Genomic DNA, 25,178 nt, shown 5'->3' on the forward strand with positions numbered 1-25,178 from the left:
TGCAGCTGTTTGGGCTGACACCACACCTGGCAGCAGGGCTGACGTGTCCTGCAGACCTGCTCTTCCTCTGACTCACTGTGTCGCTGCCCATCACTGGCTCACAGCTTGGTAGCTACCCAGCCACACCCTCAGCCTCTCTTTTCCCTACTGTCAACCAACTGTGTGTCTGGCATGTAACACACACTCAGACTGAGAATGTTTCTGTCTCTGTGCTAACTGCAGTGTCTGCCATCCTTTCCTGCTCTCTCATAGCAGGTACCGAGTCAGTCCAGACAGCTGCTGCCTCTGGGCTCAGTGCTGATCGGCAGATCTCCAACCTCTGACCTTCCTTCTGCCCCCTCCGTTAGTTCCACTCACATTTGCTCCAGTCAGGCCCGGAAAATAAAGATAACAATTAGGAACAAATACACACAGGCCATGGGAGATCTACTAATGCACTTTGTCCACTGCCCCAAAAACGTCCCATGACAGCTAGTGGACACTTTTTTAGATTTCCCAGTTAGAACGGTTCTACATTTTGGATCTCAAAAATTCTCAACACTGATAAAGACCAGTGAAACAAGAATTCAGTTATAGCAAATTGTATGCTCTTTGTCAGAAAGTTTTAAAAAACAAAGTCCAATAATATTATTCAGAGAACATTTTCTTTCTTTGCATAAAATCTTCCTAGTGAGAAGAGACAGACAGGAAAAAAACAAAATTCCATACATGGGAACAAGAAATAATGACTTCCATAAGGAAACACAAAACCAGGGAAGACACAGGCTGGAGGCGGGTGGGGTGGGGAGGGCAGTGGGAGCTGTGTACGTGCGTGTCTGCGTGTGTGTGTTCTATGCACATTAGGGGTTAGGTTATCTAGAAGAATTCTATCAGGAAGAGATAATTTACCCAAGAAATGAATTGAGGAAGCTATCTATGCTATAGGGGAAAATTTCAGAAATACTGAATAGCTAGTACAAAGGATGGATCTTGCTTGACATTTTTAAAGAGCAGCTAGAAGAACAACATAGCACAAAATATTTGAAGCCACAGATAAGCAGAGAATACGGTCAAAGTTGCTTATTTCTTTTTATCTAAATAAGGTCAGTTCTTTATTGAAAATGACTACATTCATATGGTGCATAAAATATGTGGCAATTTACAGCAAGAATTAAAGAAAATAAAATTCTATAGATTTAAATTGGAAGCCAGTTGCAAAGGCAGAAGCAAGATGGGATGTGAAGCTGTGGCAATGGTCCAGGTAAGAGATGGTGGGCAACTGGGCTGTCATGGTAATAACAGAGGTGAGGGAAAGTTGTCAGACTCCACATATACTCTGAAGCTGTGACTGACATGATCTGTCTAACAACTGAGTTGACAGGATATGCCTATGGATTGATCGTGGAGTGTGAAGGAATGGAAGTCATTGGTAACTCCACGCATATTGGCTCAAGCCAACAATTGGTAAATGCTGTGATATTTACTGAGAGGTGGAAGCCCAGGGGTAATAGGTTTGGTGATGGGAAGGATATGGAGATAATAAACTTAGTTTTGGATGTGACTATTTGACATCCGAAAGGAAATGGAGTCTGGTGCTCAGAGGGGAACTTGAAACATATGTCAGGGATGGATAATAACCTGAATATATCTAATCCCAACCAGAAGAAAATTTCACAATGAATTAAAAAGTTCTATATTTCCTAGCAGATTTAATTCTTTATTCTTTCAGAAATAAGTGAAAAATAGACATGAGGGAAAATGGCTTGTCAGTGATTGCTAATCTGGGACTATGGTTAATAGAATGTTATGGTATAATCTCTCAGCATGATTCCAGGACATGGTTAGGTGGATTTCTAAATATCTTTTCTCTCTTTCTGATTCAGAACATTTGTTCTTATTAGGCCAGGTGGTTTTTTAAGGCCATTCCTATTACTACTACTACTATATATATATATACATACACACACACACATATGGTTCTCCCAGAAAATTATCTTTTATCTTCCCTCTTCTGTTGTTTATTCTTTTGACCTTGTTTGAGTAATGACACCTTTTAAAATGATGTAGCAGATGAGGAGATTATTCACCTCAAGTGAGTCTGTGTCCTGAAACACATTTTGTTAACTGAAAGTATAATACATAATGAAGCTTGTTCTGTTACTCAGAAAATATTCATGTATTCCTGTTGTAAGTAACAGGGATTCTCTCTTTTGAACAGAGCTTTTACTACTCTGAAGATTCCATAAATCTGGGAGTTACATCTAGTTTTCTTGGGTATTTCTCAACACAAACTCAGTCTAGCCCTTGAAGCGTCAATGTGAAGCATGTAATTAGTAAGAATGTGGATTGATATATTAATCCATTCAGATAATCAAATGTCAGTGATTGATATGACAGCTATACAATCTCTTATCTAAAGCCTTGGTATCAGATTTGCTTTAGATTCAGATTCATTTCATATATTAGAAAGGTCATACTGTGTATACACCAAATATGAGTGACTAGGTGGTAATCACATATGTTACTATTTTTGCAATAAAACATATGAATATTCACATTAAGCAGAGTAACTAAAAAATGCAAATAGCCCCAAAGTCAGTACATTCAGATTTTGCTGCTAAATAAATTTGGGTCTGCTTAGGGTTCACCATTTTAATAATTTTGCTTTTAGAATTAAAAATTGCAGATAAGCAACTGTGGATCTTTAATAATAGAAAACATTAGCATAGGTAATGGGTAAAACCAGACCAAAAAAAACAAAGCCATAAAACGACAGAGGGAGAGCATACAAGAAATATATAAGACTGGAGAATGCATTTTTAATGTGTCCTTAACATAAAAGTAGAGGCAGCAGGATCCCTAGGAGAGAGCTGGAAATGCATTCTGTTCTCCTGGTACAGGAAGGTTAATACGATGACCCTGAGGGCAGGGGATGTAGCTGTGGTCAGGAAAAGATAATAATAATAAAGATAATAATGTGCTGGGAAAGATAGTAAGCCTATAAAAACATAATTTTCATTAATCAAGAGTGTTAATATTTTAGGTATCAAAAATAAATCTTAAGTTATTTTAATATCATCCATTCATATCTAAAATTAATGCCTTGGTAAAGGGCAGAAACTCTAATAAGAGATGTAATTTATTGTTAAGGCAGCAATGATAAGACTGGAGGACAGCCAATATCAGCCCATCTTTTTAAGAAAATAATAAATAGGATACAGTCAGTGAACTTTATTTCTACAGAAGTAGCTTTGATAGGAAAAATACTAGACACAAGGGACATGCCTAGTGAAGAATATGATAACTATGACTCAGCTCACATTTCCCAAGAGTATATTACTAACCTCTACCATAATTATTTGCTTATTTACTAAAAGAATGGATTAATGAATAAACAAATGGAGAATATGTCCCTGAGATGTTGATGTAGCAGTTCAAGAAACGCGAATCAAGATGGTTATCAGTGGCAGGGAAGGGGCGTGGGGGGCTGGGGAGGAGGTGGGGATAGTTATGGGCACAAAAAAATAGTAAGAATGAATAAGACCTAGGATTTGATAGCACAACAAGGTGACTATAGTCAATAATAATTTAATTGTACACTTTAAAATAACTAAAAGTGTATAATTGGATTGTCTGTAACACAAAGGATAAATACTTGGGATGGATATCCCATTTTATATGATGTGATTATTATGCACTGCATGCCTGTATCAAAGTATCTCATGAATCCCATAAATGTGTACACCTGCTATGCACCCACAAAAAGTAAAAGTTTTTTTTAAAAAAAGAAACTCAAATATCTACATAGGTATTTTATAATCCAAACTTGACAGCCTCTCTCTTTGCAATTTTACAACTTTCAGCAAATTCCCCATATTCTCTCCATCTCAGTCTGAACAGCCATTTCACATCTTACAGCTCACTGTTTTTTGTGTATCTCATCCATTATCCATGTTTTTGTTTGCATTACTTTTGCTTTCTGAAATATCCTCCTGAATTATTTTCCAACAACTCATGAGGTAACGCTTTCTCCAAGGCCTGTCATTCTCAAGTGTCTTCGGGTCTGTGTCTTATAACTGAACACTCACAAGAACCATCTCTGGTTTGTTTTGTGGGTTCTCTCTTCAGTAGCATTAACATTTTTTTCACCATGCAAATTCTGTATAGTTGGTCATAGAGTAGGAAATGAAGCTATTAAATGGTTATAATTTGCCAGTCACAGTGATGGAGGATGAAGGAGATGCAAAGATAAAGCCCTATCCCCAAAAACCTTTTAGCTCAAAACGATGGAAGGCTGAGTCCTGAACCCTCATAGCACTACATTTCATTGCTTTAGTCCAAAACAAGTCCAAGAGATGTGCAGAGCCAGGAAGGATCATTTTCAGTGTGGTTGTTCAAAAAAGGCATCCTGGGAGAGGATGAATTTCCCTCATTCATTCAGGAAACATTTCCTGATGTCCTAGTCCTGTTAGGCACAGTTAGGCTTTAGAGGCTGAGTTAGTTTTCCAGAACTGCTGTAACAAAGTGCCACAAACTAGGTAGCTAAAGTGATGGAGGCCATACGTCCAAGATCAAGGTGTCTGCCGGCCGTGCTGCCTCCGGAGGCTCTAGGGAGGGATCTGTTCTATGCCCATCTCCTAGCTGCTGGTGCCTCCGGTGTTCTGTGGCTTGTCCATGCATTATTCCAATCCTCCCTCCTCACAGGGCTGCTTCCCTATGTGTCCTTGCACTGTGTTCCCTGTGTGTACATCTGTCTCTGGGTCCAAAGGTCCTTCTTGATGAGGACACCAGTCATATTAGATTAGGGTCAACCCTCCTGACTACATTTTAACTTGATTACCTCTGTAAAAACCTTATATCCAATTAAGGTCACATTCTGAGGTACTGGGAGTTAGGATTCCAACATATGTCTTTGGGAAACCACAAGTCAATCCAGGATAGAGATGCAGGGATGAAAGGCAGGCACAGTGACTTTGAAAGGAAGCTCACACTGTGAGCGGGCACCAGGAAAGTAAATCACTTGTTCCAGTGAAGCTCAACACGCTCCTACACGAGGTAAGATCATGAGAGTTGACATCTGTCATTTTAAGTGTTCTGGATTAGTAAGAACCTTAACCTTTACGCTCTTTCCCCGCAGGCTAGTAACCTTTCAGAGTAAGCAAAATTGGCAAATGACATTGCCTTGGCTATGGTTTCCCTCTGAACTGCTTAACTTGGTAACAAAAATGCTGACGGTACCTCTGTCATTGACGTATTTTTTTTTAGGAGGAAGAAAGAGCCAAATTACAAATACGATGCAGACTCTATATGAGTCTTCTCTTACAGCATCTCTTTTATAGGGAAACTGTCCACAACATTTTAAACATTATTAATCAATGCAGAGCAAGATTTTAAACAGATACAGGTTACTTTCAAACACTATGTAATAAATACTTATTATTATTATTATTATTATTATTATTATTATTATTGAGACAGAGTTTCTCTCTTTTTTGCCCAGGCTGGAGTGCAATGGTGCGATCTCTGCTCACTGCAATCTCTGCCTCCCGGGTTCAAGTGATTCTCCTACCTCAGCCTCCCAAGTAGCTGCAAAAGTCAAACAAAAAGTGATTACCCCGGCAAAGAGGCACTGACATATAATCAGAAACAGAAATAATGTCACTGTTATGAGGATATTTACAGATTCAGAGAATGTCACAGAGATCTGTAGTCTATGAAAAACTAAATCTGGCCAGGTGCGGTGGCTCACTCCTGTAATCCCAGCACTTTGGGAGGTCAAGATGGGTGGATGACCTGAGGTGAGGAGTTCGAGACCAGCCTGGCCAAAATGGCGAAACCCTGTCTCTACTAAAAATACAAAAAAAAAAAAAAAATTAGCCAAGTGTGGTGGCACATGCCTGTAGTCCCAGCTACTAAGGAGGCTGATGCAGAAGAATTGTTTGAACCTGGGAGGCAGAGGCTGCAGTGAGCCAAGATTGTGCCACTGCACTCTAGTCTGGGTGATAACAGCGAAACTCTGTCTCTAAAAAAAAAAAAAAAAAACAAGAAAAACTAAATCTGGCTGCTTAATAAAGGACACACAATTCTTCAAGTTCAAAGTCTGTGTTCCTGTACTTGTCATACACACAGAAACTGCTCATTTATTACATTTTGAAATTTCAGTGTCTTTCAAAAATATCAGATCAAATCAGAGAAAATAAATGAATTCAATCTACCACTCTAAAATACTGCAGAGGCAATGTTAAATTACTTTATTAAGCAAACCAAGAAAAAATAAATTATATATGATTTGTATTATTTTTTAACTTCCACACTATTTAATGGTATAAGATTCTCTTTCAATGCTTTCAATGAAATAGGTATCTTACTTTCACTTAGAACATTTTTTTCAAAGTAATTCTTAAAATTCTGTTTTTCTAATAGGTTTGCAGCAATAGGTAGCAATTATTGTTATTAGAAACATACCCAGATGCTTTCTTCTCGGCGATACTGCTTCCAGTTTCTCCCACCATCACTGAACATCAGGAGGTAGCTGGTCACCCAGTCAGAGCTCCCATATCCTCCTTGGGTGGCGACAGCAGTGACCTCCATTCTCTCTCCAAGGTCAATTTGCAGCCATTGGTATTTATTTGACACAAGTGGGGTCCAGCCACCAGCTCCTTTTTTGAAACAGAAAAAGTATAAAAATGGTAGAGGAGGAAGTTATTTAACATAGCTGTTACTAGATTAGAAAACTATAAAATTATGAATATATATTAAGAAAATCATCGATTTACAATAGAAAAAATAGAATAATTACATGTGACTGGATGAACCCTAAATTGTGTTCACATTTAGCTAGATGACCCCTGATATTCTAGAAGGCAGGTGTCCCACTGACTGCAGAAAATGTTTGTTTAATGCAGGTGGCCACTAGAGCATTCCTGTCAACTTTTGGAACTAGTGTTATTTCATAGCCCTTGTGCAAGATTTGCCCTTTGCCAACATAAGAGACTAAATTCCAGTAGTAGGAAGTACAGTATTAAGCACTGATAAAAGAAAGACAGTTAATATATTGACCTTGCACTCAAAGTGCTTACAGTCTCATAGGAGAAATGGATGTAAAAGAAGAGTTAAAACATAGAGTGCTTTGTGAGGCAATCCCACTTACATGTGGAATTCTAAAAAGTTGATTTCACAAAAGTACAGAGGAGAGTGATGGTTACGAGGAACTGGGGTGTGGAGGAGATATTGGTTAAAAAATACAAAAAGGTATGGAGTAGCAAATGGTCAAGGTGAGTCCTAAGCAGGTTCTGGTGCACTCTGCTCTCTCTGGCAGTACTGCAGGGAAACTGGGGCAAGCCTCACACAGCGCTCATCCACCTTGGACAAGGAAAAGGAGACTGTTGGGTATTGAAGAAGATGCATGCAGAGCAGAAAATTTGCTCTTTTTGCTCTGACCAATGCCACATCTGAAACAAAAACATAGGCATGTCCGCTGATGTTTTATTGATGTTTATTATTTTTCTAGTCTAATAGAATTAGGGGACACTCGAAAACCACAGCTTCTTTAATAATCAATGTCTAGAAAAAGAGAGTGCTCTATAAACTATTCCCAAGCTGAGGAGTCAGAACACTTTTATTATTCCCTGGTGCTGCCACTTACCTGAAGGCTCTGACAGAAATTCTGAAGTTCTAGACAGTTCATTATTATTCATTGACTTATACTGTGTATTTTATTATTAGGAGTTTATCATTATGTCCTCATTTGTAAAGTCTTTAGTACTTCACTACATGTCCAAAAAAGTTTGATATTATTAGAATATAGCTAGGTGTAAAAACGAATAAGTGAGGACATTATACTTTAATATAAGTTATTATGGGGAAGTGTTAAGAAATATAAATATTAGGCACCTATTTGAATTGATGACCACACTTAACTACTGTTTCCTTATGATTCCCAAGTTTACAGATTCTTAGAAGTCAGATTCTAAGATATTTTTGTAGTGAATCTTTGTTCAAAAATATTTTTTCCTCTGAATGTACGATAAGCACCTCTAAAGTTTATATTATATATATAGTATGTACACAGACATATATATAAATATAATTTTTGTTTGTTTTGCTTTTTATTGTTCTATGTTCTGAATTGAAGAGTCAGGAATTTGATCTAGTAGACAAGATGGAAAATTACTGATAACCAACACTGTGCATCTGATTGACACTAAAATACTCCATATATTTTCTTAATCCAGACAGCTAGGAGGTGGACACAGCTCTTGTTCAAAGTTAAATGTTCTGCTATAGATCAGGGGCATCCTCCACTCATGCAACATGGTTTCCTAGATCGGGCAAGATTTATTCTTGGATGATTTACAGCAATATTTATGTGAGCCCCTGCCAGAGACAGTGCACAGATTTCTTTAGCCCTCAGTAGGAACTACTTCCACAGTTTCTTCTCTCTGCTCATTCCTCCTTCCAACTTAACTTTTCAGGATGTAACAGAATTCCACGTACCCACTTCCATAATCACTCAATTTAACAATGAACACTTATCGAGCATTTGAGAACTCTAGGTCAGGCAAAGAGTTCCCTTTAAGTAAATTTTGCATTTAATTCCTAACATACCTTTAAAAGACAAGGCCTCATTACTACCCTCCATATGGATGGTGGGCAGCTCACCTATGTTTACGCATCTAGCAAGGGGCCCACAAGCTTTGGATCCAGAACCTGTGCAATTAAATATTTTTATTATATTATTTTGATGATAATCATGGGATGTGGTGTTTCTCAAATAAATGTAACAAAGATGTAAAGACATTTGGGAGTGAGCAGGTCTGGCTACCTAAGGGAGCAGCCCCCATGCAGCAGGGCAACCTCTCCTACTCCTGGTCAGGCAAGGTCTGGGTTTCGGAAAGCTGAGGGTGCAGTGCCAATGGGGTTTTCTCTACTGGCCCTTCCTGTTGACTCCACCAGATCTACTCTTCTCTCCTAAGCCTATGTAAACTTTAATTGGTGGGAGATCCTTTTGGGGTTGGTCTAACTAGCAACCAATGGTCCTAGGTACAACACTACTGAAACTGTGTATCCTTTTCTGTTTTTCTTATTACTATTTTAAGGGGTTTTGTTTTGTTTTGTTTTGTTTTTGTTTTTGTTTTGAGATGGAGTCTCACTCTGTCACCAGCCTGGAGTGCAGTGGCGAGATCTCTGCTCACTGCAACCTCCAACTCCCTGGTTCAAGCAATTCTCCTGCCTCAGCCACCCAAGTAGCCGGGATTACAGGTACATGCCACCACGCCCAGCTAATTTTTGTATTTTTAGTAGAGACGGGGTTTCACCACGTTGGCCAGGATGGTCTTGGTCTCCTGACCTAGTGATTTGCCCACCTCAGCCTCCCAAAGTGCTGGGATTACAGGCATGAGGCACTGGGCCCAGCCTATTTTATGGTTGTTTTAAAAGAGTTGGGAGAAGGTGAAGGAGATGCTAACAGCCAACCCATCATCTTAGGCTGGATGTTGTACATTGGGAATTTTATACACAGAGCTGAAACTTCTGAGGAACTATTCAATATTTTTGGTTCTTCCCCTCATCTTGGTTAGTCAGCATGAAGGGCATCCTCTTCAGCTTGTATTTCATAACCTTTCTTTGGTGTTTTCACTCCCTCTCATTCCAGGTTTAGAAAAGTAATTACTATGAGAACACATGTGGAGAAGCACAAGGAGGAAAATGAGTTGACACGGTTCTGGTGTGCTACCCTGGGATGGTGTGTTTTCATTAGATGAAGAGGGAGCCACTAGCCATCCCTCTTCTCGGCATCCCTCACAGTTTGTTAGTTTGTTGGTGTTCATGGTTGCACTCCTGCTAACAGATGACACATTTCAGTGACTTCATTTTACCTTTGATGAAGTAGTACTTAAATGCAAATAAGCTATATTTTCAGCCATTACTGATAAAGTAATGAAATTCTGGCATTACCAAAGAATTTCATCAGGATGTTGTAGACTCATGGTTACAATCTGCAATCCCAGATGCATTTTAAGGGTAAGCTGCTGTGCACACAATTTAATTAAACGCTGAGTGGAAATGGTGGGAAACACAGCGTGACTGACCTGTGCACTGCTGGATAGCACTAATCTGTGTGCCTTTGTTAAAGGCAGCTTTGATGGTTGGTATAGAAGGCCACTATGGGTAACAGAAAGAGAAAGGAGATTGGCTGACTCCACCCCCAACTAGAGTGTGGTAATTGTCCAGTCACTCAGCCTCTCTGAGACAAAAATGTTGTCTTTGTTTAAAAAAGAAAAGCATAAAGTTGGGAGTGAGGGGATTAACAGTCATATAAATCACCTCACAAGACTGTAAGGAAGACAATGGGATAACTGAAACTACAGCACTTTGTAACTAAATTATTATTCAAATGTGATGTTATACTCAATTTTTGTTGTCTTTAAATTAAAACAAATGAAAGTCTTCTATTTGTTAAGTCAAGATTATACATGTGCTGACTAATTTTCAACCTGGAAGTGTCTTTTCATAGTCCCTTCTAGTCTATGGTCAACAAAACTTTGTACACAAAACAGGGGAAGCAGTTAGGTCCTCTAAGCTCAGCCTCTCCCCCATAACAAATGTTTCTTCTCCACTTCACCCTCCTCCCCCTGCCTCTGACAAGACATTGCACCTGAGTTAAATAAAGTGTCACAATTCTACCCCACAGATCCTATGAATCACGAAAACTCATCCCCTCCATTCATAATATATGTTCTGACACACATGTTCCATTACTGGAATGAGATTAAAATATGCTGAGCAACTGAAACTTTCTCTTACACTTTATATGGCTTGAGGAACAGCAGATGTTATTTTTTAAAGGGTAATTCGTTTTTATAAAGGCTGATATTGGTACCACAGTGAAGATGCTGAGCTGCGCTGTTTTGTCCCTAAATGTTCACACAACATAGGATTTATCTTATGTACCGTTTTATCCACTTTTAAGTTTTCAAGTTCTGAGGAAATTATTAAAGTTTTGCCACTTATTTTGTAATGGAAAACAAGGGAAAAGAGGGAAGTGAGAAACTGTGAAGCATATATTGTATGCTGAGAATTCGACCAGATATTTTCAAGCATATTATCATTTTTTATTTCTAAAAGCATTCAGTGGGTTGTCTTTATCGTATCTACCTTACAGATGAGAAAATAAAATCACTAATTAAAACACATGGAAAGATATTATTTTTAAAATCAGCTATGTTTCATTTTTATCCTTGTCCATGAATATATTCACATGATTTGTCAATCACTTAGTACTTTTTGGTTATAAATAATCTGGCAGGATTATGTCTCTATTTTGTACAGTTATATCTGTGTTATAATTCTGCATTTACATCAGGTCAAAGTTACATTTCACTATCTGGGGCAGGGGGCTCTGCAAAAGAAAAGTAGAAACCCTACAGCTGGAGCCTGAATTGTTTCTGACTAACAACAATAAAACTTCCCATGACTATAGCATCTAGTCATTAAGTGGCAGCACTGTTACAGAGTATGTATTGACTTTGTTTACAGGGGAAATAATGCACAGGTAAATCATCATCATCATCATTACGATTATCATCATATCACCATAATCTTATACCTTCCTTAACTAAATTTGATATTGAGGGCACAAAATATAAGTAAACAAAGTAAATGTTCAAAGCCAGCCACTATTAGGGGCTTCTATATATCAAGCAAACACACAGTTAAGTCAACCTTGTCCCCATGAGACACTTCCCACTAAGATAACAAATTGTTTCAAATGTGATTTTATCCAGATATATTTGTTTGTTTCTTTCCTCATCTAATTGCATTTTAATTCACATTAAAAATTTCAGGTATTACCTGGGGTGAGCAGGAGGTGGGAAGTGAGACGTGAGGTAGGGACTGTCACAGCTCCTACACTCCAGTGTGATTATATGTAATTTATAGGGAAGAGGAGTGAAGCTGGCTTTAAATAAACTCCCTCATTCCACTTCTGAGATTTATAGGCTTTAAACAGCCATGCTTTTTGTCAGTAGATCTGCCTTTTTGCTGAGGGGAATTTAAACATTTACCTGAGATCTAATTTCATTTAGAAAAAAAAGGGCTAACTACACAGATATAGAATCAGGTACCACAGTCTTTTTCAACTAGGCTGCTTTAAAGTAAAAAAATACAGAAACCCTCCCTCAGAATCTGTCTTTGTGTACATGTTCTATTTCAGCAGTATTTCCTTCAATCTTAGCAGGTTGAAGCAGAAAGAATATTCAGCCTACTAAAAATGTGTTCATAAAAAAAGAACTGCAATTATGGTTAAAATCTCAGAGTGTATATAACAATTTATAAAATGTATTCTCTTACAAAATGCATCTACACTCCCTAGCAGCTTTGAAAATGGACAAAGAATAAACAAAAAACAAATAGTAGATGTTAGACTTAAAATTAATCATATAAACAATCATATTAAAGGTAAGTAGTGCAAACACTCCTATTAAATGGCAATGATGGTCAGATTAGATGAGAAAGCAAGATCCAACTATATGTTGCCTACAAGAAACACACTTTAAATAAAAAAGGCTCAAATAGCCTAAGTGTAAACACATGGAAAAATATATATTATGCTAATAATAGTTTTTAAAAAAGCTGGATTGGCTATATTAAACAAAGTAGATTTCAGTGCAAAAATTATTATAAAAGGTAAAGAAAATTATTTTGTAATGATTAAGATGTTCTTTCATCAGAGAACATAATCCTAAACATGCAAACACTTAATAACAGAGCTTCAAAATACACGAAATGAAATCTAGTAAAACTGAATGAAATAGATAAATCCACAATGACAGTAGGAGATTCTAGCACCCCGTCTCAGTAACTGATTGCACAAGAAGACAGAAAATAGGGATTCAGAAGTATTAATTATCACTATCAACCTATATGATTCATTGATATTTATGGAATGTTTCACCTAACAGAAGAACATGTATTCTTTTTCGAGTTCATTTGGAACTTTTACCAAAATAGACCATTAAACGAGTCATTAAACAAGTTTCAACAAAGTTAAAATCATTTAAGTCATGTAAAGTATATCTTTGTGATATACAATAGATTAAAATAAGAAATCAGCAATAGCAACTTCTCTGAAAAATCCAGGAATATTAGGAAACTAATAACACATACTTCATACTCAATGAATCAAAGAAGAAACTAAAAGGGAAATTAGCAAGTATTTCAAGCTGAATGAAAATGAAAATACAACTTATCAAAATCTATGGGCTGGAACTTCTGGCTTCTGCCCCAGGAAGTAGAAAGCTATAAGGAGCCTCATTTCCACCCTTACAACAAACTTCAAGTTCATGATCTTTTACAAATGCATTGGAGAGTTGAGCTTGCAGAACCACCACCTGGCCTAAAATCTAAAGAGATATGAACCTCGCAGGGAGAGATGTGAGCAGGAGCTCACCTTAGATAGATGAAACCAGAGGTCAGTAAGAAAAGTTCAGCTGGAATAGTTAACAAAATGGTGAAACCTACTGTGCAGGCTGGTGGGACAGTGAGAAATCCTTTATCACCCCAGAAGTTGGGGGAGTGTTCCCTCTTGCAGGCACTTGCTCCACAGGCCATTGGCAGAAACTCACATGCAGTCCACTGAGAACTCTATTTGGCCCTCACAGAAAATATCAGAAAGAGCCCTAAAGGTTAAATGACTCAGCCTATAACCTCCCTTATCTCCACATCTTGATTTTTGCATAGGTGTAGTTCCATTCATCTTGGTAACTAACTGCATAATTTAATAAAACCATCATTGTGCATTTTTTCATTCATCCAATAAAGTATCTGATGAGACATATAATCTCAAATTATCACTTGAGCAGGCAAAGAAGCCATTATCTTCACTTGGTGAGTAGAAACAATTAGGCAAAAGTGATGGGTGATGTGCAAATGGGGCATATGCGGAGAGGGCTGGAATGGAGTCAGGGCACCCTGAGGCTGATGGCACGCCTCTCATTGTGTTCCATTTCCCACAGATAGTGTGTTTACTTTCTTCAGGGAGTGATTAAACACGTGTATTTGTCTTTCTTATTAAATGACAATTGATGTCATGCAAGGAAACACGAGAGTGAAATGCTGAGAAGTGAATATTTTAGTGAATATCAAATTATCCATCTGTATGTGATTGATTGCTCAGTCAACCAAAATCCCCTAGTCCACCCCCTAAAAAAAAAGAGATGGTAATATTTACATTTTTCCTAAGGATATTATGTAGTTAAACTAATTATAGTTTATGAAATTGCTGTTAAAGCCTCATATGAAGAGAGACATGCATTTATTATTGCATGTAACAGGACACTATCAAAATATGATGCAAAAGGAATGTCCTCTAAACATTACAATAATGTTTATTTTAAGTTGCTATTAACAGAGGAATTTTTTTAGAGGCAAGCACACAACAGGGACAATGTGGGGCATCAGAATTCTGCTAACGTTTGTCCCACTGAATTCTTTGGAAAAAATATGACAACCTAAAAAAATCCAGTTGGCAAAAATTAATGTGAAAGAAAATAGGTGAATCTGCACCATGTCCTATAGAAGTTCTGGAATGCCTCCCTTAACACTGACTTTAATAACTAATGTAGGAGAGTTGGTTATAGGACCAATTGTTGTAATTTACCATTTTCATCATTGGTCATAGTCCTTTTGAATCAGTTTTGAAGCACAAATTAAACTGCCAGTCAGAATTTAAATGTTATTTAAGAAAAAAATTATTTTGAAATACAGCTTCACATGAATTGGCAAAGACAGTACAGAGAAGTGATGTGTACTCTTCACCTAGTTTCTACCAATGGTTACATCTTATAAAATTACAGTACAATATCAAAACCAGGAAACGATGTATCTATCCAGTTGTATGACACGTTTAGGGTCCGTAACCCCCACCACAATCAAGAAAGAGAATGACTTCACTACCACGACAATCCTCCTCATTGGTACCCTTTACAGTTATACATAGCAACCACTAATTTGTTTTCTATCTCTATAATTTCCTCAATTCCTCAGGTTCCTAGATGGTCTGTCTTCCCTACATTTTTTCATTCTTATGTTTATTTTATATATAAAGTTCCTTTTAAAATGTACTTATCAGGAAGAATATATTAAAGACATGTACTTCATCTCTCCGGAGCAGAAGCTGGCAATATGATGGTGAATACAGTGTCCCTTTATTCTTGAGTGATTCCAGTTGCCTCTGGTAAACAGGAAGTTTCCTATTCAACCTCACCTTTCTTGCCAAGAACTGCATGACAGTTGAGCTGTCACATGTATCACTGGATTTTTTTGAACAGGAAAAAAGTGAAAGGACAACATTTTTAGAAGGAAGAACGCAAACTGTAAGAGAGTGATGCGAAAATCCTAGAGAGGAGTGGGACGGCATTCTTCATTAAGAGTAATTGGTAACATTAAGCAACAATTAAGTACATAAAGAAATCATGGCCTATCAGTAGCTTTAATTTTATTACTAAATAGCAACCAGTTCAATGAATATGCCACATTGTGGTTATCCATTCAGTGGCTGATGGACATTTGAGTTGTTTCCAGTTTTTGTCTACTGTATTAGTCCATCTTCACACTGCTGATGAAGACATATCTGAGACTGGGTAATTCATAAAGAAAAAAGGTTTAATGGATTCACATTTCCATGTGGCTGAGGAGGCCTCACAATCATGGCAGAAGGCGAAAAGCATATTTTACGTGGCAGCAAACAAGAGAGAATGATTATCAAGCAAAAGGGGGTCCCCCTTATAAAACCATCAGACCTTGTGAGATTGATTCTCAACTACGAGAACAGTATGGGGGAAACCGCCCCCATGATTCAGTTATCTCCCACTGGGTCCCTCCCACAACACCTAGGAATTATGAGAGCTACAATTCAAGATGAGATCTGAGTGGGGACACAGCCAAACCATATCATCTACTATGAATAATGTTGCTATGAATATATATATATATATAAATTTTTTTTACATTTTTTACATTTTTGCATTTACTTTTTTTTTTTACATTTTTTTTTACATTTTACAACAGGCGGAGTCTCGCTCTGTTGCCCAGGCCAAGATTCAATGCAATCTCAGCTCACTGCAACCTCCACCTCCCAGGTTCAAGCGATTCTCCTGCCTCAGCTACCCGAGTAGCTAGGATTCCTGGTGTGCACCACCACGTCCAGCTAATTTTTGTATTTTTAGTGGACACTGGGTTTCGCCATGTTGGCCAGGCTGGTCTCAAACTCCTGACCTCAAGTAATCCACCCACCTCGCCCTCTCAAACTGGCGGCATTACAGGTGTGAGCCACTGTGCCCAGCCTCTATGAACATTTAAGTCTTAGAGTGGACATACATTTTTTGGAGTGGAATTGCTAGGTTATATGGTAAGTACATGCTTTTACTTTTTAAGAAACTGCCAAACTATTCTCCAAGGTGGTGGCACTATTTACATTCCCACCAACAAAGTATGACAATTAGGATTATTACAATTAGGACAATTCCAGTTTCTTCCAATCTATAAACATAGTGTGTCTCTCAATTTATTTGAGTCTTCTTTATTTTCTAATAGCTATGTTTTATAGTGTTCCATGAACAGGTCCTGCACACCTTTCGTAAGATCTACATTTAAGTATTTTATTTTTTAATGCTATTGTGAATGAAATTCTTTTCTTAATTTGATAATCAGATTGTTACTACTACATAAAAAAGAATTGATTTTTGTATATTAACCTTGTATCCTGTTAACTTGTTAAAATTCACTTATTAGTTGGTGTCTTTTAGATTTCTAGATTTCTTAGAAGATCTCCATATAGGAACATGTTATCCATACACAATAATGTATGGAGAGACAGTCCACTTTAAGCAGCTTGCACTCCTACATGTTTTGTTGGGTCTGCTAAGACTACAAAGGCCTAAAAGCTCTTTTATGGACCCTTTTTTCATGGTTGTTTATGCAGCTGGTAACCTTGAGAGGTGAGGTTACATTTTCTTCCACACAAAGAGCCTTCTCACTTACTACTTGCTATAACTGCAGTAGGTTCCCCAAGCTCATTATTTCTCAGCTGCAATACAAGTCTGCTATGAGTGTAATATTCATACGTGCCCTATTGCATTGCCCCTGTGGGCCTCAGGGGCAAAGGAGACAGATACAAATATGCTGAAACTCATGTTGTTGTTTGTGGTGCCATGAGTAATATAGTTCACAGGTGTTGCCATTCTTTAATTTTAGCCATCCTAGAGAACATATTATCTCTCTATGATATTAACTTATATTTCTCTAATGGTTAATGATTTTAATACCAAATGTTGACCAGGATAAGAAGCAACTAGAATTGACACACATTGGCAATGGGAGTATAACATGTTCAAGGGCTTTTGAAAATAGTTTGACAGTTTCTTTAGAGTTTCACATACTGAAATTCCACTCCCAAAAGCGATGTAAAATAATGTTTGTAGAAATTTATTCATAATAGATCCATACTGGAAACAAGCCACAAGTGTCCATTTTAAAAAGAATGGATAAACAAACAGCACAATTGAAATCTACTCAGCAATAGAAGGAAATGTGCCACAAATCCACGCAACAACATGGATGGATCTCAGAAACCTTATGCTCCCTAAAGGGAGCTGGATACAAAAGCTTCTGTATGATTCTGGTACTGTATGACTTTTTGTAAGTTCAAAAGCACAAGCCAACCTAAATAATATGACAGAAAGTAGAACAGTGATAGGTGGGAGGTGCCTAGATAATCAATAAAAAGTATTAACAAATGGTAAGGGGGTGATGAACTGATCTGTAACTTGATCTGGGCTCTGGTAATACAGGCGTATACATCTGTAAATATTAACCAAATGGCACACTTTATGCATTTAATTGTATTTTAAGTTATGCCTCAATTTCAAAAATTTTAAAAATAATTTTTAAAGTGACCCAAGAGAATCAGACCAGCCAAATATTTCTTGTTCTCATGTCTAATCTATATTAACATCCTTATGAATATTTTGTTTGTTTGAATGCCACTTCCTGTCATAGTACTAACAACCTATTTTAGATGAATTTTAAAGTTACATATGCTGCTGAAGCATACTCTTTGCGTAAGTAAGTAAGATTAATTTCTTTAAAATCTACATATTTCTTCAATCGAAACACATTTTGCTATAGATAACTTGATGCTATTTTGTTTGGCCTGTAGTCAGCTGAATCATTCAACATTTGTAACATATTCACATTGTCATATGCTACAAATCTGAGGAAAAAAAAGCATAAAAATAGAATGCCATTGGACTTACTAATTCTAAGAACTATTAAAAGGCACAGATAAAAAATTTAGTAAACAATATCCTCAGGCAAAATATTTTCTGTTGTATTAATGTTCTACTTTTCAGGTCCTTTGTTGCATATGTAAATTGGCACATCTAACACCTAGGCACATTGGGAAGCTTAGTGTAGCTTCTGACCTATAAACTAAGGAGGGGAATATGCAAGAATTTTGATTTTATGAAAAATGAGGACCAGGCGTGGTGGCTCACACCTGTAATCCCAGCACTTTGGAAGGCCAAGGTGGGCGAATCCCCTGAGGCCAGGAGTTGGAGACCAGCCTGGTAAACATGGTGAAACCCCATTTGTACCAGAAGATATAAAAATCAGCCGGGCCTGGTGGTGGGTGCTTGTAATCTCAGTTACTTGGGACAAGGGTAATCCCAGCTGTTCAGGGAAAGGGAAAGGGAAAAAGGGTGAAAGGGGGAAAGGAGAAAGAAGGGGAAAGAAGGGGAAAAGGGAGGGGAGGGGAGGGGAGAAGAAAAATGTAGGGGAATTTAATTCTTATTAGATTAGTTATCTTAAATATTTGCTACATTTACATTATTCTATCAGAGATTGATACTCTTTATATTTTTAAATTATTGCATACATTTTTATCAATTTCTATCCTCTAGATTCCTCATACAAAACAATGAAATCTCACATCCTATTCTGTTTTGGGATATTGCACTGTGCAGAATAGTGGAAATTCTAAGTAGTTAAAGATCGCATACTATAACAAACCATTTGTGGGTCATTTCCCCAATGTAAGAATTTTGCTTTTATTTATTAATATGATTTTAAACTATGGTGCCAAGTTTTCATTAGGAGTTATACTTTCTAATGTGGGAAATAAATATCTTGATATTGAAAAGCCCTTACAAATATCCTGAGCTATTCATTTTGTATTAAAAATATTCAGTAATTATTTTCTCTGCCTCTTAATCACTGAACCTAGTCAGTGTGCCAAGAAAGCATGATCACATGGAAGGACATCTGAATAGTGGAGAAATATGAGGAGTGGAGGGAAAAGATCCAATATGTTTCCATTTGCTCTGTGTTTGCAGTTTATCACACAGGTTTCTAAATTATCCTTGTCTATGAAATTCATTCCCATACACCAACGTTAATTTCCATTCAAACCCACGGGCTTGCTCCCTGATTGTACTCTGCACGTGAGAGTTCATGGTTTTCAATATATAAAGCCCGTTTGAATCATTAACGCTTCTGGCTGAGAATGAGAGTTAACGCAAGCACTTTCTAAAAACAGAAAAAGAGGGCAAAATACATATACGCTTTTGCCTAGCCAGTTTCAATTTGCTTCTAGCAAAATTATCCATTTCATCCCTACTCCTGCACTTCTATTTCATATTAACGAAGGAGAATATGTACTTATTAAAATGGAAAGTTGTCTCACATAAAATGCTACTGAGCCAATCCAATGAATGTTCGCAATTAAAGGTATAATAATCATAAAAAGAAGAAAACTTGATAAGCAAAAGAATAATCAAGTACTAGCATGAGTTACTAAGTGTTTTATTTCTTAAGCTTTTGTCTAAATAACTTTGGATCACATAGTTTTCTTAAGGAGACACTTAAGAAGAATGACAAATGGAGCTCTACTTTTTCTTTATTTGCCTTTTCTTGTATCAAATGCCCCATCATATTTTAGAAATCTTGGTTTTGCAGAAAAATTTAGCAATGTGCAATTCCAGGAAATATCAATGTAAACTTAATGACAACAAAGTCAGGTTTAATAGTCAAATCCAAATTTCAAGAATTTCATATTTTATATAATGGCACCAATTTTCCTGCAGCTGAATATACACAATCTGACTATACCTATATGTCAGTATACATACATATATATACTGAAATATATATGTATGTATATACTGACATATATAGTCAGTATATGACTATGACTATAGTCAGTATATATGACTATGACTATATATAGTCAGTATACAGTTAGTATACACTAACATATATGTATATGTGTATATGTACTGACATATGTGTGTTTATATGCACACACACTGACCATGTATGTACTGACATATATATACACACACTCACACTGACCGTATATATGTATATATTCCTGCAACTGAATACACACACACACACACACACACACACATACATTCAGCTTCAGGAAAACTGGTGCCATTACATAAAATATAAAGTTCTTGAAATTTGGATTTGACTATTAAGTACACACTGACTCTCTCTAAATATATATATATACACACACACACACACACACACACACACATATAGTATATATTTAGTACATAGTACATACACACACACAGATATATACATACATGTGTATTTATGTACATTTATTGAACACATTAAAATCTATTAATTTGCAAAATTATATATACAAAATTAATCATACACTTGTGATGAACCTTTTCATTCTTTCATGTTTCTTTGCATGAAGAAGTAAGAGAGTTGTTTGGATATTAGAGTGGAAGAGTATACATACATAATCAGAAATTTCCAGAGGAAACATGAAGAGATGTCAACTATTTCTCCATTTTTTATTGATAATGCTTTCCAGAATCATGACTTTTGATTTTTGTTGTGCTATAATTACTCGCTCTTTACAATGTCCACTTACTTCCTTGAGGGATATGACAGGAAGATTGAGAAAAACTGTGGCTGGAAGGCCGGCAGTGCTGTAGAGACCCTGGGACCTGGGCCCTTCTTCTTTGGCTCCAGGTCATCCTGTGGTCTCCCCACCTTCCTCCTGCTTCCCTGGGCCCTCCTCACAACACTTCACAGACTTCTGTCCTCGTCTTGTTGCAACATCTTTTCTAAAATGTATTTTACAATAATTTCTCTACATTTCCTAAGCATCTGAAACGTAGTGTGACAATTTCATATATATTAATACTTTAAACTATACAATTCCTCATTCTGGTTTAGGAAAAATTACAAATCAGTTTAAAACTATTTTGGCAAGCAATCTAAATTAACTACAGAATATCTTCTTATTGCTTTCCTGTAATAGGAAAGAGGTGGCGATGAGATGGTACACAGGTAATCCTTTATGAAAGCTATGGAATTCAGGGCATTGCTAATTCTTACTAAAATATGTGGAAACTTAGCAACTTTGAGCATCATAAAAAATAAATAGGAAGATACATGGAAGAAAAACCATGTTCTCTAAAACCCCATAAAGCTAAGTTTTCTAAATATAATGAAATGTAAAATTTTTAAAAAATCTGACTTTTTTCTGGTTTATTTTCCTTTTTAATTTTTAATTTTTGTGGGTATGTAGTAGTTGTATGTATTTATAGGGTACATGAGATATTTTGATACAGGCATGTAATACATAATAATCACATCATAGAGACTGGGGTATCTGACTTAAGCAGCTTTTGTACTGGACCACACTTAAAATAGTTTAAAGCTAAAATAATGGTATACAAAGAATTATCAGCACAGTCAACAATCATCATCATCATCATCATCATTTTCCGTTTTTTCAATCTGAACCAAAGGGAGATTGTTATATCTACTGACAAATACAAAAATCAAATGGGATTATGAGAATGGTCCTGTGTCAGCTAGTTATAAATAGAAAATACACATATATATCCTATTGGAAGGAAAATACACATATACACACATCACCCAAATGGTGATGTTTTACAACACGTTATGTATAAAATTAGGCATAAAACTGAACTTTAATTTTCAGTGAAGTATGAATAAAATAGTGAAGAGCTCTCCAGGTTGACAATTATAGGAACAATTCTAAAACTACTCATCAGCTGATTGGGACTCCTTATAAAATTAATTTAAATGCACCAAAAGCCATATTGCATTTATACTATAGAAGGTAAAACTGGTACAGCCATTTCATAAAAAGATTTTTGATATTTTCCTGTTTTTTTAAATTGAATAATTGTGACACAGAGAATGAGAAATGCATTAATCTTATTCTTAGAGGTTTCTCTGTCGAGTTTAAGTTGCCAATGTCATATGCCTGGCAGTGTGGTGGCCAATTTAAATGGAACCATAGGGGATTCATTCAGTCCATGTAAACTACTTAAACATCACCTGACGGTCCCCTCCCCTGCACCGTGGGCTGCCATAACCTAATTTAACAAGCTCTTTCAGAGTTTGGACATTTCTTTGGTAACAACTGACATTACCTGGCATTATTTCATGTTTTATTCTGAATTATTCTACTACAGAAGCTTAAGTTTAATTCCATCTATACATATTATTTAATGTTTGCTTTGTCATGGCTCTGAGCTAGATGTTGTGAAACAATGTGCTTAACTGCCACTTTTACTCCCACTGTTGATACTACTAATTGCCGGGCGCGGTGGCTCACACCTGTAATCCCAGCACTTTGGGAGGCCAAGGTGGCCGAGGCGGATCACGAGGTCAGGAGTTGAGCCTGGCCAACATGGTGAAACCCCGTCTCTACTAAAAATACAAAAAATTAGCCAGGCGTGGTGGCGCGACCCTGTAATCCCAGTTACTCAGAAGGCTGAGGCAGGAGAATAGCTTGAACCCAGGAAGCGGAGGTTGCAGTCAGCCGAGATCACGTCACTGCACTCCAGCCTGGGTGACAGGGTGAGGCTCCATCTCAAAAACCAAACCAAAACAAAACAAATTAAAAAAAAACTACTAATTATAATTTTTGCTTCAGCAGCACTCAGTAGATTTTAGCTACTTTGGATCAGATCATATACTAATTTTTTAATTATGGTAATACACATCACAGGAAATTTACCATTTGAACTGTTTTATATGTAAAGTTCAGTAGCATTAAGTACATTCACATTGTGCAACCATCACTACCATCCATCTCTAGAGCTGTTTCACCTTCCCAAATGAAAACTCTGAACCCACTAACAATAACCTCCATTACCAGCCCCTGGCAACCACTATTCTATTTCTTGTCTCTATGAATTTCACTACTCTAGGTACCTCATATAAATGAATAACGTAGTAGTTGTCCTTTTGTGTCTAGCTTATTTTCCTTAGCATAATGTCTTGAAAGTTCAACTGTGTTACAGTACGGGCCAGAATTTTCTTCCTACACTGCACTAGGCTTCTCCGTTTGTCCATCAATGGAAATTTGGGTTGTTTCTCTTTTGGCTCTTGTGGATACACCTGCTCTGAACATTGATGTAACATAACCTAATTATTTTATGTGTATTAATTCATTTAATCTTCACAACCTATTTTACTCAAGTTAACTGTTTCATGATAGGTACTTTACTAATCCCATTTTATAACTGAGGAAACAAAAACTCAGGGAGATAAAGGAATTTGTCCAAAGTCACACAGCTAGTAAGGGGTAGAGCCTGGATGATTCCAAGCTTATCCCTAATCACTAAGGATAAGATAGCACCCTTCCTTCAAGGAAGTTAGAATTGCACAAAGCGTAAGAAAAGCATACAAACACCTAGTAAGCACACTGGCATATGATAAATGCTGAGAGCTTTTTAAGGGAAAGTGCCAGACATATTTAGCATGCAGGCTTAGTAAAAATCTAGATTAGGTCTGGCAGCCAAAATCTAGGTTATGACCTGTTTATATAGCCAGAGAACTAAGAATGGTTTTACATTTGTAAAGCGTTGCATTTAAAAAAAAAAAACAAAGAGGGCGGGGGCTGGGTATGGTGGCTCAGGCCTGTAATCCCAACATTTTGGGAAGCTGAGGTGGCTGGACTGCTTGAGCCCAGGAATTCAAGACCAGCCTGAGCAACATAATGAGATCCCATCTTTACAAAAAATATAAATGTTCGCTGGGTGTTATGACATGTGACTGTGGTCCCAGCTACTCGGGAGGCTGAGGTGGGAGGATCACCTGAGCCCACGGAGGTTGAGGCTACACTAAGCTGTGATCTTGCCACTGTACTCCAAACCTGGGCAACAGAGCAAGACTGTGTTTCAGAAAAAGAAAGAGAAAGAGAGAAGAGGGGAAAAGAAAAAAAGAGGGAAGGAAAAAAGCAAGGAAGGAAGGAAGGAGAAGGAGGAGGAAGGGAGGGAGGGAGGGAGGGAAGACAGAGAAAGAAAAAAGAAAAAAAAGAAATGTAACAGAGACCTTACATGGTCCACAATACCAAAATCATTTTCCATCTGTCTCTTTACAGCAGAAGTTTGCTAACTCCCATGTTTAACTTTTATTTTTAATTGATGAATAATAATTGTACATTTTTATGAGGTGCAATGTGATGTTTGGATACATGCATACACTGTAAAATGATCGAATCAGGCTAATCAGCATATCAGTCACCTCAAATATGTATCATTCTTTTAGCGGTGAGAATAGTTAAAATTCTCTCATATATTTCAAAACAGACAACACTTATTAACTCTATTCACTATGCTGTGCAAAAGAACAACAGAAATTATTATTCCTATCTACCCAAAACTATGTACCTACTGACCAACATCTCCCCCTTCCCTATCCACCTTCTCCTCTAGCGTCTGGTAACCACCATTCTACTCTCTACTTCTGTGAGCACTGTCTTTAAATTCCACATGTAAGTGAGACTATATGGTATTTGTCTCTCTGTGCCTGGTTTATTTCACTTAACATAATGTCCTCCAGGTTCATCCATGTTATCACAAGTGTCAGAGTTCCCTGCATCACGGGTTTTAACCCACACCTTTGATGTACTTGGCTCTAGTAAGTACAAGCGTGGGGAAAATGTAAAACTCTTTTGGTGCAAGCATTCTGCATCATGTTTCAGACTTTCAAAGAAAATTTTAAGTCATCCTCAACAACATCACATTAATTTGAGGCTAGAGAAGATACTGACTATAACCCTGACAAAAGCCACTTGAGCAAATCCGTCAGAATCATTCTGCAGGTATAAATTTTTAAATCACAAA

General features: G+C 37.1%; 1 protein-coding gene across 1 annotated transcript in view; it reads right to left on the bottom strand.

Moving 5' to 3' along the window:
• CNTNAP3B (contactin associated protein family member 3B) overlaps positions 1-25,178 on the bottom strand; it is a 238,891-nt gene that overhangs the window by 179,889 nt on the left and 33,824 nt on the right. Inside the window, exon 3 of the mRNA NM_001201380.3 lies at positions 6,445-6,638. Coding sequence (NP_001188309.2) covers positions 6,445-6,638 — 194 coding nt within the window. The remainder of the gene's footprint in view (positions 1-6,444; positions 6,639-25,178) is intronic.

This window comes from Homo sapiens, chromosome 9 (assembly GCF_000001405.40).
Source record: "Homo sapiens chromosome 9, GRCh38.p14 Primary Assembly".
NCBI lineage: Eukaryota > Metazoa > Chordata > Mammalia > Primates > Hominidae > Homo > Homo sapiens.